Raw genomic sequence first — 12,399 nt, forward strand, 5'->3', positions numbered from 1 at the left:
ACCCTCATATGCTTTCCTTGCTACTTATAATACTGTGGTTTCCAACAGGGCTGACCACATACAGCATGGCTCACCTTCACTTCTTTGTGGGTACTTAGCTTCCTGACAAGGGAAAGGAGCCAGATGCAGGCTGCTTGCCTCACGTGTGGGTTGGGGCTGATGATATGTTTATTTAAAATCACATCCAACACCCATGGAACCACATCATTCACTTTGGCTCCTGGGGAAAAGCAAAGAAAAATAACAAAGAATTAAAATAACTCAACATAGTTTCCTGAAAAAATTAAATTCAAATCAACATTTACTCAACAGAACAATCCTATATAAAAATCTAAATGGCTAAGGTGTTTAAAGTTGCTGAAGGAATCAATAATTATCCACTCTAGAACCTAGTGTAAACAAAATTACATTTCAAAGGTACTCGAGTAACTTTTTAGTTCCTGAGAATGAAAACTTATCCCTAATCTCTCTAGTGTCAGCAATTTTTGTCTACTAGATGTTTCTCATCTTCCATCTAAAAACTAACAAACTTATTTTGCACTTACTTTCCTCCTCCAGCTACCATACTGTTTTTCTCCTTTCCTTTATTACTCCAGGGTTTCTCAACCTCAACACTACCGACATTGTGGCTGGATAATTCTTTATCATACAAAGCTGTGCTATACACTGCAGGATGTCTAGCAGCATCCTGTGCCTTCACCCACTAGAGACCAGTGGCACCCACCCTCCCCAGTGTCTAGACATTACCAAGTGTCTAGGGGGAAAAATCTCATTCCTCCAGTGACAAACCAATGATTTACATTAAGACCCTTCAAAATAGTTGTTTAAACTCATGTTCAAACTTTGCTCTTCTCTTTTTTGAGCCCACTCCAAATCAGCCTTTTACCTTCTCTTCTCCATAGAAATTAGTCATAGAAATCACGAATGACTTTCCTGTTGCTAAGTCCAATGATGGTTTCTCAATTCTCACTTTAGTCGATCTATTGGCAGTACATGACATGGTCAATTCCCCTCCGCCCCTTGTCCCTTCATAACTCCTCATTGATCACATTACTCCAGTTCTCAGAGTCAGAATCCCTTCTTTTAATTCCTGTAACCACAACTCTAGCTGCCAGCAGTTCTGCTATCTGGGCATCTACAATTATAAAACCAACAAGTCCTTACTAGATTCCCATAACATGCCCAGGATATTATGTAGAGATGTTAAGACGGCTAAGACCTGGGCCCTAACTGGCTTCTCAAATGCTGTTCATTCTACTCACAGCAAGATTGGTACACTGTAACCAACAATGACATCCAAAGGCTAAGAAGCACTCAGATGAGAATGACATAGAACACGCATGATCAAAATTCACGTCAGAGATTCATCATCCCTCCCTTCTCCACAATATTTTATGTTTTCCTTTCCCAAAACAGACAAAAATAGAACTTCAACATTTAATGGACAATTGGAGATTCCTTTGCATGAGTAAAAAGCCAAGCAGGATGCAATCTTCCAAGAAGAGTTTGAGGCAATACAAGAGTTCAGAGGATGAAGACTGGCACAGATGCCTCTCTACTAACCTCTACTTGCTTAAGTCACTAGGTAAAAAACCCATGGAGTCAAAAACATGCCTCTCACAGCAAACCCACTCCTCAGTGTGAGCCCTCCCTGTTGTCAAGCCTCTGTTACCACCTCTCACATGCAACCTGAAAATTCCCACTTCAGGTTTGGTTGTCTTCTTGTTAACAATGTTGCTTCCCTTCCTTACCTCCTTCCTTCTATACAAACTGCTCCTTGCCTTGCTTCATGTGTGTTCAAAGAAAAACCTCAAAGAACTGACTCTGATTCAGCTTCCGTCAATCCACAACTCTCATTACAGTGCAAGCAAAAGTGTGTTTTTCTATTTCCTTTAAATCTCTTTAGGGTGGCTAATGAAATAATAGGTGAACGCATTACCGTGGAGTTAAATGTTAACTGTAACACTAAGTGCAATAACTAAATTAATGCATTATTCATGATGGAACACAATATACAATAAAATTGTTACCATGAGAATACTCTCTTTTAATTTCCTCACTTGAGAGGATAAAATATAAAAATGTGGTGACTTTTCCTTCTGTTTAAATTTTTTTTTATTCTAGCTCAAATACTAAAATATATTTTCAATTCCAAATTCAAATCAAACCACAACAAACTTGAAATCATAATATATAAAACATAAAGTCAGAAACCACATGTTCCCTCAACTATATGCTGTCACTAAAAGCCAGTGTACCTAGAGCGCTAGCAGAAGGCACTGAGGCTTCATTATGTAATAAAGGATTAGAGGACACATCATCTGGAAACAACTATACCTTGAATTCTGAAACTGGCTAAATACATAAATCCTCGTGAAAAGAGCACAAGCTTCAAGGTAATCCAAAGCTGACTCCCCTGCTTGCTTGCCAAAGGGTCAGAAAAAGAAGTTAACTAATTTCATGCTGTCTGCTTTTTATTTTTTGAGACAGAGTCTTACTCTGTCGCCCAGGATAGAGTGCAGTGGCATAATCTCAGCTCACTTGCAACCTCCGCCTCCCAGGTTCAAGAAATTCTCAGGCCTCAGCCTCCCGAGTAGCTGGGATTACAGGCTTGTGCCACCACGCCCAGCTAAGTTTTGTATTTTTAGTAGAGATGGGGTTTCACCATGTTAGCCAGGCTGGTCTCTAACTCCTGACCTCAGGTGATTCGCTCACCTCGGCCTCCCAAAGTGCTGGGATTACAGGCACTCATGAGCCACTGTGCCCAGCCTCATGCTGTCTTCTTCACTCAACTATTTTTCTTGACTGAATGAAATTGGTAAAACAGATATAAATATTTGAAAACAGTAATATGGAATGTGTAATGTTTTTGCCTCAAATGTGATAAAGAGAACAAAAAAAGGTTACTTGATCATTATAAATCGATTAGCTGAATATTTGGTACCAGCAGGTGGAGTATATTCCTCTTCAGTCATTTGCCAGGCATCTCGGGCAGCCACAGAACTAGTTCCTATTGCAGCACTGGTAATGGCTTCGCCAATAGTGAACTGAAGTTCTATCTGCTTGGCCTGCAACGAAGGAAGTAAAAACCATGAATGAGAAAACACATTTCCCAAAAACATCCATTTCTACAGAAAGCCTGCTTAAAAGTGTGGTTCTGAGCATGTTTTGTTTTCACTCTTTGCCCTAGTTTGCTTTCGGCTAATTCAATGGCTCAAAGGCCAGGGATGGTGAGGGAGTGGAGGATATAAGAATCCCTTGAAGATATTTTTCAAAGTCTTTGCTGCCCTCCTCACCCTCAGTAGAGAACCACTAAGCAGTGATTTATGATCTCTGGAAGCATAATATGGTTCACCTAAGGAAGACAGAAAACCCCATCAACTTTGAAGCCATGTAAGTCTCAATATAAATTCTAGCTATCTCTCACCACCTATAAACCCTTATTTAAACTTCTATGAGCCTCAAAAACTTCATTTGTAAAAGGGGCATAATATCGTCATCCACAGCATTAGGCTTTAAGAATTAAATGAGGTTAATGTACATAAAACTATTATATAGGATGCTTGATTGTGGTTACTCCACAATAAATAGTAGCCATTATATTTTATTAACATTTATTTAACAATTATTTAACTCTTTGCACTCTTAAATTATATGATATCTTGATGTTACTTTTAAGTGGCTCAGAAAAAAGAGAATAATAAAGCATATGTGAAATGTTAAAATTTGGTAAATCTGGATAAAGGGCACACAGGAGTTCTTTACACTATTCTTACAGCTTCACTGTAAGTTTGAAAGCATTTCAAAAGTCAAACATTAGAAAATTCTATATAGTACCCACTCAAGTGTTTTAAAATTTTATTCAGAAATGTTGACATGATTCACTAGTAGGAGTCACTGACCCAACATGTAACTACCTAGACCTGCATTTTCCACTTTTTACTGTGAACCGGAAGAAATTTAGGAGGAAAAGGAGAAATAAGGGAATGAACAGACAGCATGTGAGGGCTATAAACACGCTACTCTTCAAAGCACAAAGACAACAGCTGAGACTTTCCTACGCCAATCAACAAACGCTCTAGTTGTGATGAGGCATCACGTACTAATGCCACAAGCTTCCTAGTCTGAGGAAAAAAGATTTAAAGGCTTTAGTCCTACAGCTTCCCTGGTTAAAAGCTTCTCTTGGCAACTTCAAGCTGAAAAAAGGTATTTCAACATAATCCTTATTAGGGGTTCATTTTATGTACCTGTACCTGTTTTTGCATGTTTCCTGTAGTTAATAACAACACAGCTGGCATGAAAAACAAAAACAAAACTCCACAGCTACATTTATGAATAATATACTATCTGGACATTGCTGTAAATAATCCAGAAATAAAGGGGGGTTCAATAGAGAAAATATGAACAGATACATGGGGATTCATTATATTATTATTCTATTTTTGTGTATGTTTGAAATTTCCTATAATAAAAAGTTACAAGAGGGAGCAGGCGGCAGGGCAAAGTGGCTGAACGGGGAGGTGGAAATGGTTAACAGGTACAAAAAAATAGTTAGAAAGAATGAATTCAGGCCAGGTGCAGTGGCTCACACCTGTAATCCCAACACTTTGGGAGGCCACGGTGGGCGGATCACCTGAGGTCAGGAGTTTAAGACCAGCCTGGCCAATATGGTGAAACCCCGTCTCTACTAAAAATAAAAAAATTAGCCGGGCATGGTGGTGTAAGCCTGTAATCCCAGCTATTTGGGAGGCTGAGGCAGGAGAATCGCTTGAACTCAGGAGGTGGAGGTTGCAGTGAGCTGAGATTGCACCATTGCACTCCAGCCTGGGCAACAGAGTGAGACTCCGTCTCAAAAAAAAAAAGAATGAATGAGACCTACTACTCTTTGATAGCAAACTAGTGTGGCTATAGTCAATAATAATTTAATTGTACATTTTAAAATAGCTAAAAGAATATAATAGGATTGTTTGCAACTCAAAAGAAATGCTTGAGGGGATGGATACCCTATTCTCCATGATGTGATTATTAAGCATTGCATGTCTGTATCAAAACACCTCATGTACCCCATAAATATATACACCCACCATGTACCTACAAAAACTTAAAATTGAGAAAAAAAAAGCCCAACAGAATCTCATCCCCTCCCCATCTAATGCAGGAACATCAAACTGAACTATCCACCAAAAAAGCACCTTCATAAAAACTAAATCAGGTGAGACATCACAGTACCTGGCTTCAGCATAATAACAAGAGGAGACTGACTGAATAGAGTGGGAAGTACACACTGCCTATACCACCCCTCCCCGAGTCCCAGGCAGCACAGCTTGGAAAGAGAACCTGTGTGCTTGGGTGAAGCAGAGCAAAATGAGTGTGATACTTCACATTGCAACTCAGTAACACCCGGTCACAGCATCAGGCAGAATTCTGCCAGTGCCCAAGGAGGGAGCACTTAGACCAAATCTGGGCCAGAGGGGAATCAGCTTCTTCACTGAGAGGAACCCAAGTCAGCTGACTAAAATGGCCTCAGGCCCACAAATAAATTTCACCAGCGGCTAGACCACACTTGGAGGGAGGAAAAGCAAAAATACAGAAGACTTTGTCTCGCAACCAGGCACCAGCCCACCCACAATAAAACAAAGGACCAGGCAGAGTCCGAAAGCCCCACTTCCAGGATGCTGCTGTGGAAGAGCACTTCTAGACCCACCCCAGGCAAGAAGGGAATCTGCTCATGTGGCATGAACAACCTAAGTCCCAAGTCCTGGTTGGCTCCAACACCTGCTGACTAAAGCAGCCTCATCTTTGAAAAAGCATCAGCGGCAGTCAGGTGGCCACAGGCCTTGGGTGAGCCCTGGTACTGTGCTGGTCTGGGAGGCCATGGGCTTTGGGTGTAACCCAGCATGGTGCTAGCTGCTGTGGCCACAGGAGTGCCCACATTACCCTCCCCTAACTTCAGGCAGCTTATTGTGGAGAGACACTCCCTCTACCTGGGGGAGAGAGAGGGAAGAGAGCAAGAAACTTTGCCTGGGAACCCAGAGAATGTTCCCTTATCTTCCCCAAGTCCATCAATGCTGGGTATCTAGGTATCTGTAAGAGTTGCAGCACACCTGGGCTTAGGGTGCCCTCTAGTGCTGAAACAACTGCAGTGACCACAGGCTTAGGGAACTCAACACTCAGTCATATTTGAATTCTTGGAAGGCCCTCTGAAGGACAGGTACAAACAAGGCCAGACTGTGAAGACTGGAATAAATATTTAACTCTTCAATGCCCAAACACTGACGAATGTTCACAAGCATCGAGGACATTTGAGAAAACATGTTCGAAAAAACATTCACCCTAAACAAACAGACTAAGCAGGCACCAGTGACCAATCCTGGAGTGGTGTAGATATGTGACCTCTCAGACAGGGAATTCAAGATAGCTGTTTTAAGAATGCTTAACAACTTCAAGAAAACATGGAGAAGGAATTCAGAAACTTATAAGAGAAATTTAGTAAAGAGATTAAAATGGGGGAAAAAAATCAAATCTTAGAGCTGAAAAATATAATGGATGACTGAAAAATGCTTCAGTGTGTCTCAACAGCAGAACTGATCAAGTAGAAGAAAGAATTAGTGAGCTCTGAGACAGGCTACTTGAAAACACACAGTCAGAGGAAAAAAATGCAGAAGAATGAGATACACTTACAAGATCTGGAAAACAGCTTCAAAGAGGCTAAGAGTTATTTGCCTTAAAGAGGAAACAGAGAAAGAAACAGGTTAGAAAGTTTATTCAAAGAAATAATCAAAAGAAAACTTTCAGAACCTAGAAAAAGATGAACACCCAGGTAAAAGAAGGTCAAAGAACACCAAGAAAATTCAATCCAATTAAGATTACCCCAAGGCATATAATAAACTCACAAAGGTCATGGATGAAGAGAGGATCCTCAAAGTACCAAGAGAAAAGAAGCAAGTAAGATATAAAGGAGCTCTGATACGTCTGGTGACAGAAACCTTACAGGCCAGGAGGGAGTGAAATAACATATTCAAAGTGCTAAAAGTAAGAAAGAAAGAAAGAAAAAAATCCTTGCAACTGAGAATACTGTACCCAGCAAAGCTATCCTTCAAATATCAGGGGAACCAGCCCCCAATATTTCAATGTAGGTTCTTTTCTATTTTCCCTAAGTGTCGGTTGGTCTGAGAAATAGAAAGAGTAAAAAGAGAGAAATTTTACAGCTGGGCCTGCGGGGGTGCCGTCACATATTGGTAGGACCGTGATGGCGACCTTGAGCCGCAAAACCAGCAAGTTTTTATTAGGGATTTTGAAAGGGGAGGGGGGTGTACAAACAGGGAGTAAGTCACAAAGATCACATGCTTCAAAGGGCAATAAAAGATCACAAGGCAAGGGCAAAATTAGAATTACTGATGAGGGTCTGTGTCCCGCTGTGCACACATTGTCTTGATAAACATTTTAGCAGGAAACAGGGTTTGAGAGCAGACAATTAGTCTGACTAGAATTCACCAGGCTGGAATTTCCCAATCCTAGCAAGCCTGAGGGCACTGCAGGAGACCAGGGCATATTTCAGTCCTTATCTCAACCACATAAGACAGACGCTCCCAGAGTAGCCATTCATAGACCTCCCGCCAGGAATGCATTCCTTCCCCAGGGTCTCAATTATTAATATTCCTTGCTGGGAAAAGAATTAAGTGATACTTCTCCTGCTCACACATCTGTCTACAGGCTTTCTGCAAGAAGAAAAATATGGCTCTATTCTGCCCGACCCTGCAGGCAGTCAGACCTTACGGTTATCTTTCCTTGTTCCCTGAAAATCACTGTTATTCTGTTCTTTTTCAGCGTGCACTGATTTCATATTGTTCAAACACACGTTTTACAAACAATTTATACAGTTAACACAATCATCACAGGGTCCTGACATACATCCTCAGCTTACAATGATGATGGGATTAAGAGATAAAGTAAAGACAGGCATAAGAAATTATAAGAGGATTGATTGAGGAAGTGATAAATGTCCATGAAATCTTCACAATTTATGTTCAGAGACTGCAGTAAAGACAGGCATAAGAAATTATAAAAGTATTAATTTTGGGAACTGGTAAGTGTTCATGAAATCTTCACAATTTATGTTCTTCTGCCACAGCTTCAGCCGGTCCCTCCACTTGGGGTCCCTGACTTCCCACAACATTCAAATATAAAGGATAAATGAAGACTTTCCTGGGTAAACAAAAGATGAGGGAATTCACTACCACCAGATGTGTCTTACAAAAAATGCTACAGTTCTTCAATCTGAAAGAAAAGAATTCTAGCATGCAACAAAAAATGTAAATACACAGACAAATTCAAAATACTCTAATACTTTATAGAGTATTCTAAAGATACTAAAGACACTCTAATACTGCATTTAAAGATACTCTAATATTGTGGAGTATTAAGAGTATCTTTGTATTAGAGTATCTTCAGTATCCTTATCTAATACTCCATAGAATCTTTAGTATGAAGACTAAAACATAAACTTTTCAAAAATAATGACCACAACAATTTGTTGAAAGACTGGCAATATAAAAAGATACAAGTTGAGAAAACAAAGAGCCAAAAAATGGGGGTACTGGAATTAAAACAGAGTTTTTAAGTTTTTTCTTTGCTTGTTTTTGTTCTTTTCTTGTGATCAAAGTGAAGTTGTCATCAAACTTGTTATATTTTCTGAACCCCTTAGGGAAACCACAACTCAAAAAAGTCTAAACAGATAAACTAAAAATAAAAAGTAAAACATACTATGAGAAAAAATCATTTATCCACAAAGGAAGACAGAAAGAAAAAAAGAGAGGACTTCCAAAACAACCAGAAAACAAAAAACAAACTGGCAGTAGTTAAGTCTTTACCTAACAATAATAAACTGACTGTTGATGGACTAACTTATCTGATTAAAAGATACAGAATGGCTCAATGAATAAGAAAACAAGACCAACTATATGCTGCCTACAAGAAATTCACTTTGGCTGGGCACGGTGGCTCACACCTGTAATCCTAACACTTTGGGAGGCCACAGTGGGCAGATCACTTGAGGTCAGGGGTTCAAGACCAGCCTGGCCAACATGGCAAAACCCCATCTCTACTGAAAAAAAAAAAAAAAAAAATTAGCTGGGCATGGTGGCTTGTGCCTGTAGGCCCAGCTACTTAGGAGGCTGAGGCAGGAGAATCTCTTGAACCCAGGAGGTGGAGGCTGCACTGAGCTGAGATTGCTGCACTCCAGCCTGGACAATGGAGCGAGACTCCATCTCCGAAAGAAAAAAAAAAAGACTTCACCTATAAAGACACAAATAGATTGAAGGTAAAGGTATGAAAAAGATACTTCCATGCAAATGAAAACCAAAAAAGAATAGAAGTAACTATACTTGCATCAGATAAAATAGATTTCAAGTCAAAAACTAGAAAAAGACCTAGGTCATTACATAATGATAAAGGGCTCAATTCAGCAAGAGCATATAAAGGTTATAAATATATATGCAAACACTATTGGAGCACTCAAACGTATAAAGCATAATAGATTTATTAAAGGGAGAGACAGACTGCAACACAATAATAGCTGAAGACTGACTTCAACACCCCACTTTCAATAATGGACAGGTCATTCAGACAGAAAATCAAACAACCCAAATCAAAACTGAACTACACTCTAGACAAAATGGACCTGACATTTACAGAACATTTCATCCAACTGCTATAGAATACACGTTTTCTCATCAGCACATGGAACATTTTCCAGGATAGACCATATGTTAGACCACAAAGCAAGTCTCAAGCAATTCAAAAAAAATCCAAATCATATCAAGTATCTTTTCTGACCATAATGGAATAAAACTAGAAATCAGTAATAAGTAGAACTTTGGAAACTACAGAAATACATGGAAATTAAACAACACGTTCCTGAACAACCAATGGATCTATGAAAAAATTAAGAAAGAAAAATTTAAAATTTCTTGATAAAAAAGAAAATAAAAACACAACATACCAAAATCTATGGGATACAGCAAAAGCAGTGCTAAGTGGGAATTTTATAGTAATAAAAGTACAAAGTACAGAAAAGTACAAAGACTTCAAATAAACAACATAATGATGCACTTTAAAGAACTAGAAAAGCAAAAGCAAAGCAAACCCAAAATTAATAAAGGAAAGAAATAATAAAATTCAGAACAGAAGTAAATGAAATTGAGACTAAAAAAACTACAGAAGTTTAATGAAATGAAAAACTGGGTTCTTTAAAAGATAAACAAAAAAATTATTAGAACTGATAAAGTAAGTTACAGGATACAAAATCAACATACAAACAGTTGCATTATATGTGATATGCTTTGGATTTGTGTCCCTGCCCAAATCTCATGACTGAATCGTAATCCCCAATGTTGGAGGAGAGGCCTGGTGGGGGGGTGACTGGATCTTGGGGGTGGACTTCCCCCTTACTGTTCTGACAGGGAGCGTGTAGCACCTCCCGCTTTGTTATTTTTCTCCTGCTCCTGCCATGTAAGACATGCCTGCTTCCTCTTCGCCTTCTGCCAAGATTGTAAGTTTCCTGAGGCCTTCCCAGCCATGCTTACTGTACAGCCTGCAGAACTGTGAGTCAATTAAACCTGTTTTCTTTATAAGTTACCCACTTATAGCAGTGCGAGAACAGACTAATATGCCAACGGCAAACAATCTGAAAAAGAAGTCAAGAAAGCAATCCTGCTTATAATAGCTACCAAAAAAAAAAAAAAAAAAAAACCTAGGGATAAATTATAACCAAAGAAGCAAAAGATCTCTGTACTGAAAACTATAAAACATTGATGAAAAAAATTAAAAAGAACACACAAAAGAGAAGACATAGCCCATGTTCATGGATTGAAATCGTATTATTAAAATTTCCATACTACCAAAAACGATCTACAGATTCAATATAATCCCTATCAAAATATCAATGACGTTCATCAAAGCAGAACTAGAAAAACAATCCTAAAATTGCTATGAAACCACCAAAGACCCTGAATAATGAGCAAGAAATACTGAGCAAAAAGAATAAAGCCAGAGGCATTGCATTACCTGACTTCAAAATATATTACAAAGCTATGGTAAGCAAAACAGCATGAAACTGGCATAAAAACAGACACATACACCAATGGAACAGAATAGAGAACCCAAAGATAAATCTACTGATTTACAGTCAACTCATTTTCAACAAAGGCATCAAGAACATATATTGAGGAAGGAACAGTCTCTTCAATAAGTTGTGCTGGAAAAACTAGATATCCACATGTAGAATAATGAAACTGGGCCCCTTTGTCTCACCATATCAAACCAAAATGGACTTAAATCTAAGACCTGAATTACAAGACTACTATAAAAAAACACTGGAGAAACACTTCAGGATACTGGTCTGGGCATAGATTTCTCAAGATCATAAAAGCACAGACAACTAAAGCAAAAATTGACAAATGGGATTATATCAAGCTAAAAAGCTTCTGCACAGCAAAGGAAACATCCAACAGAGTGAAGAGACAACCTATGGCATAGACGAAAATATCTGCAAATTATCCATCTGACAAGAGATTAAAATACACAATAAGTAAGGAATTCAACTCAATAGCAAATAAACAATCTGATTTGAAAAGGGACAAAAGATCTGAATACAGTTATTTCTCAAAAAAAGGTATATAAATGGCCAATAGGTATACAACAAAAAGTCTGGCATCACTGATCATGATAGAAATACAGAGAAAAACCACAATGAGATCTCATCTCACCCTAGTTAGAACAGCCATTATCAAGAAGACAGAAAACAACAGCTGATAGTCAGAATGTGAAGAAAGGGGAACATTCATACACTGTTGGTGGGAAAACAGTATGAAGGTTCCTCAAAAAACTAAAAATAGAACTATCATATAACCCAGCAATCCCAGTATGTATCCTGAGTATATATCCAGAAGAAAGAAAATCTGTATTCTGAAGAGGTATTTGTGCTCCAATGTTTACTGCAGCACTATTAACAATAGCCAAAACAAGAAATCAAGCTAAGTGTCCAGCAACAGATGAATGGATTTTTTAAAAGTGGTATATATACACAATGGAATATTATTCAGCCATAAAAAATAATGAAATCCTGTTGCTGACGGCAACATAGATGGAACCGGAGGACATTATATTTAGCAAAAATAAGCCAGGCACAGAGCAAATATCCTATGTTCTCACTTGTATGTGAGAAAACTGATCTCATGGAAGTAGTGAACAAATGGTGGTTACCAGAGGCCAGGAAAGGTACTGGAGAACGGGGAAAGAGAGCTTGGCTAATGGGAACTAAAATACAGTTACAAAAATTAAGTTTTAGTGTTTGGCAGCACAACAGGGCAACAATAGTTAATAAGAATTTATTGTATATTT

The 12,399-nt window shown here is 38.7% G+C and overlaps 1 protein-coding gene across 11 annotated transcripts in view, besides 1 other annotated feature; it reads right to left on the reverse strand.

Annotated features, from left to right (window-relative positions):
• Nucleotides 1-12,399, reverse strand: part of ECPAS (Ecm29 proteasome adaptor and scaffold) — a 123,699-nt gene that overhangs the window by 33,401 nt on the left and 77,899 nt on the right. For all 11 annotated transcript variants that reach the window (NM_001363756.2, NM_001364929.1, XM_047423107.1 and 8 more), the window contains 2 exons: nucleotides 2,945-3,068; nucleotides 75-220 (listed from right to left, as the gene is read on the reverse strand). In NM_001363756.2, the coding sequence (NP_001350685.1) occupies nucleotides 75-220; nucleotides 2,945-3,068 (270 nt within the window). The remainder of the gene's footprint in view (nucleotides 1-74; nucleotides 221-2,944; nucleotides 3,069-12,399) is intronic.
• Nucleotides 5,258-5,784: an enhancer, noted in NCBI's record as "H3K27ac-H3K4me1 hESC enhancer chr9:114161623-114162149 (GRCh37/hg19 assembly coordinates)". NCBI's record gives its function as "activates a minimal SCP1, AML or CMV promoter by ChIP-STARR-seq in primed H9 embryonic stem cells {active_cell/tissue: H9 hESC(primed)}" and the evidence as "EXISTENCE:reporter gene assay evidence [ECO:0000049][PMID:30033119]".

This window comes from Homo sapiens, chromosome 9, assembly GCF_000001405.40.
Source record: "Homo sapiens chromosome 9, GRCh38.p14 Primary Assembly".
NCBI classification, from domain to species: domain Eukaryota; kingdom Metazoa; phylum Chordata; class Mammalia; order Primates; family Hominidae; genus Homo; species Homo sapiens.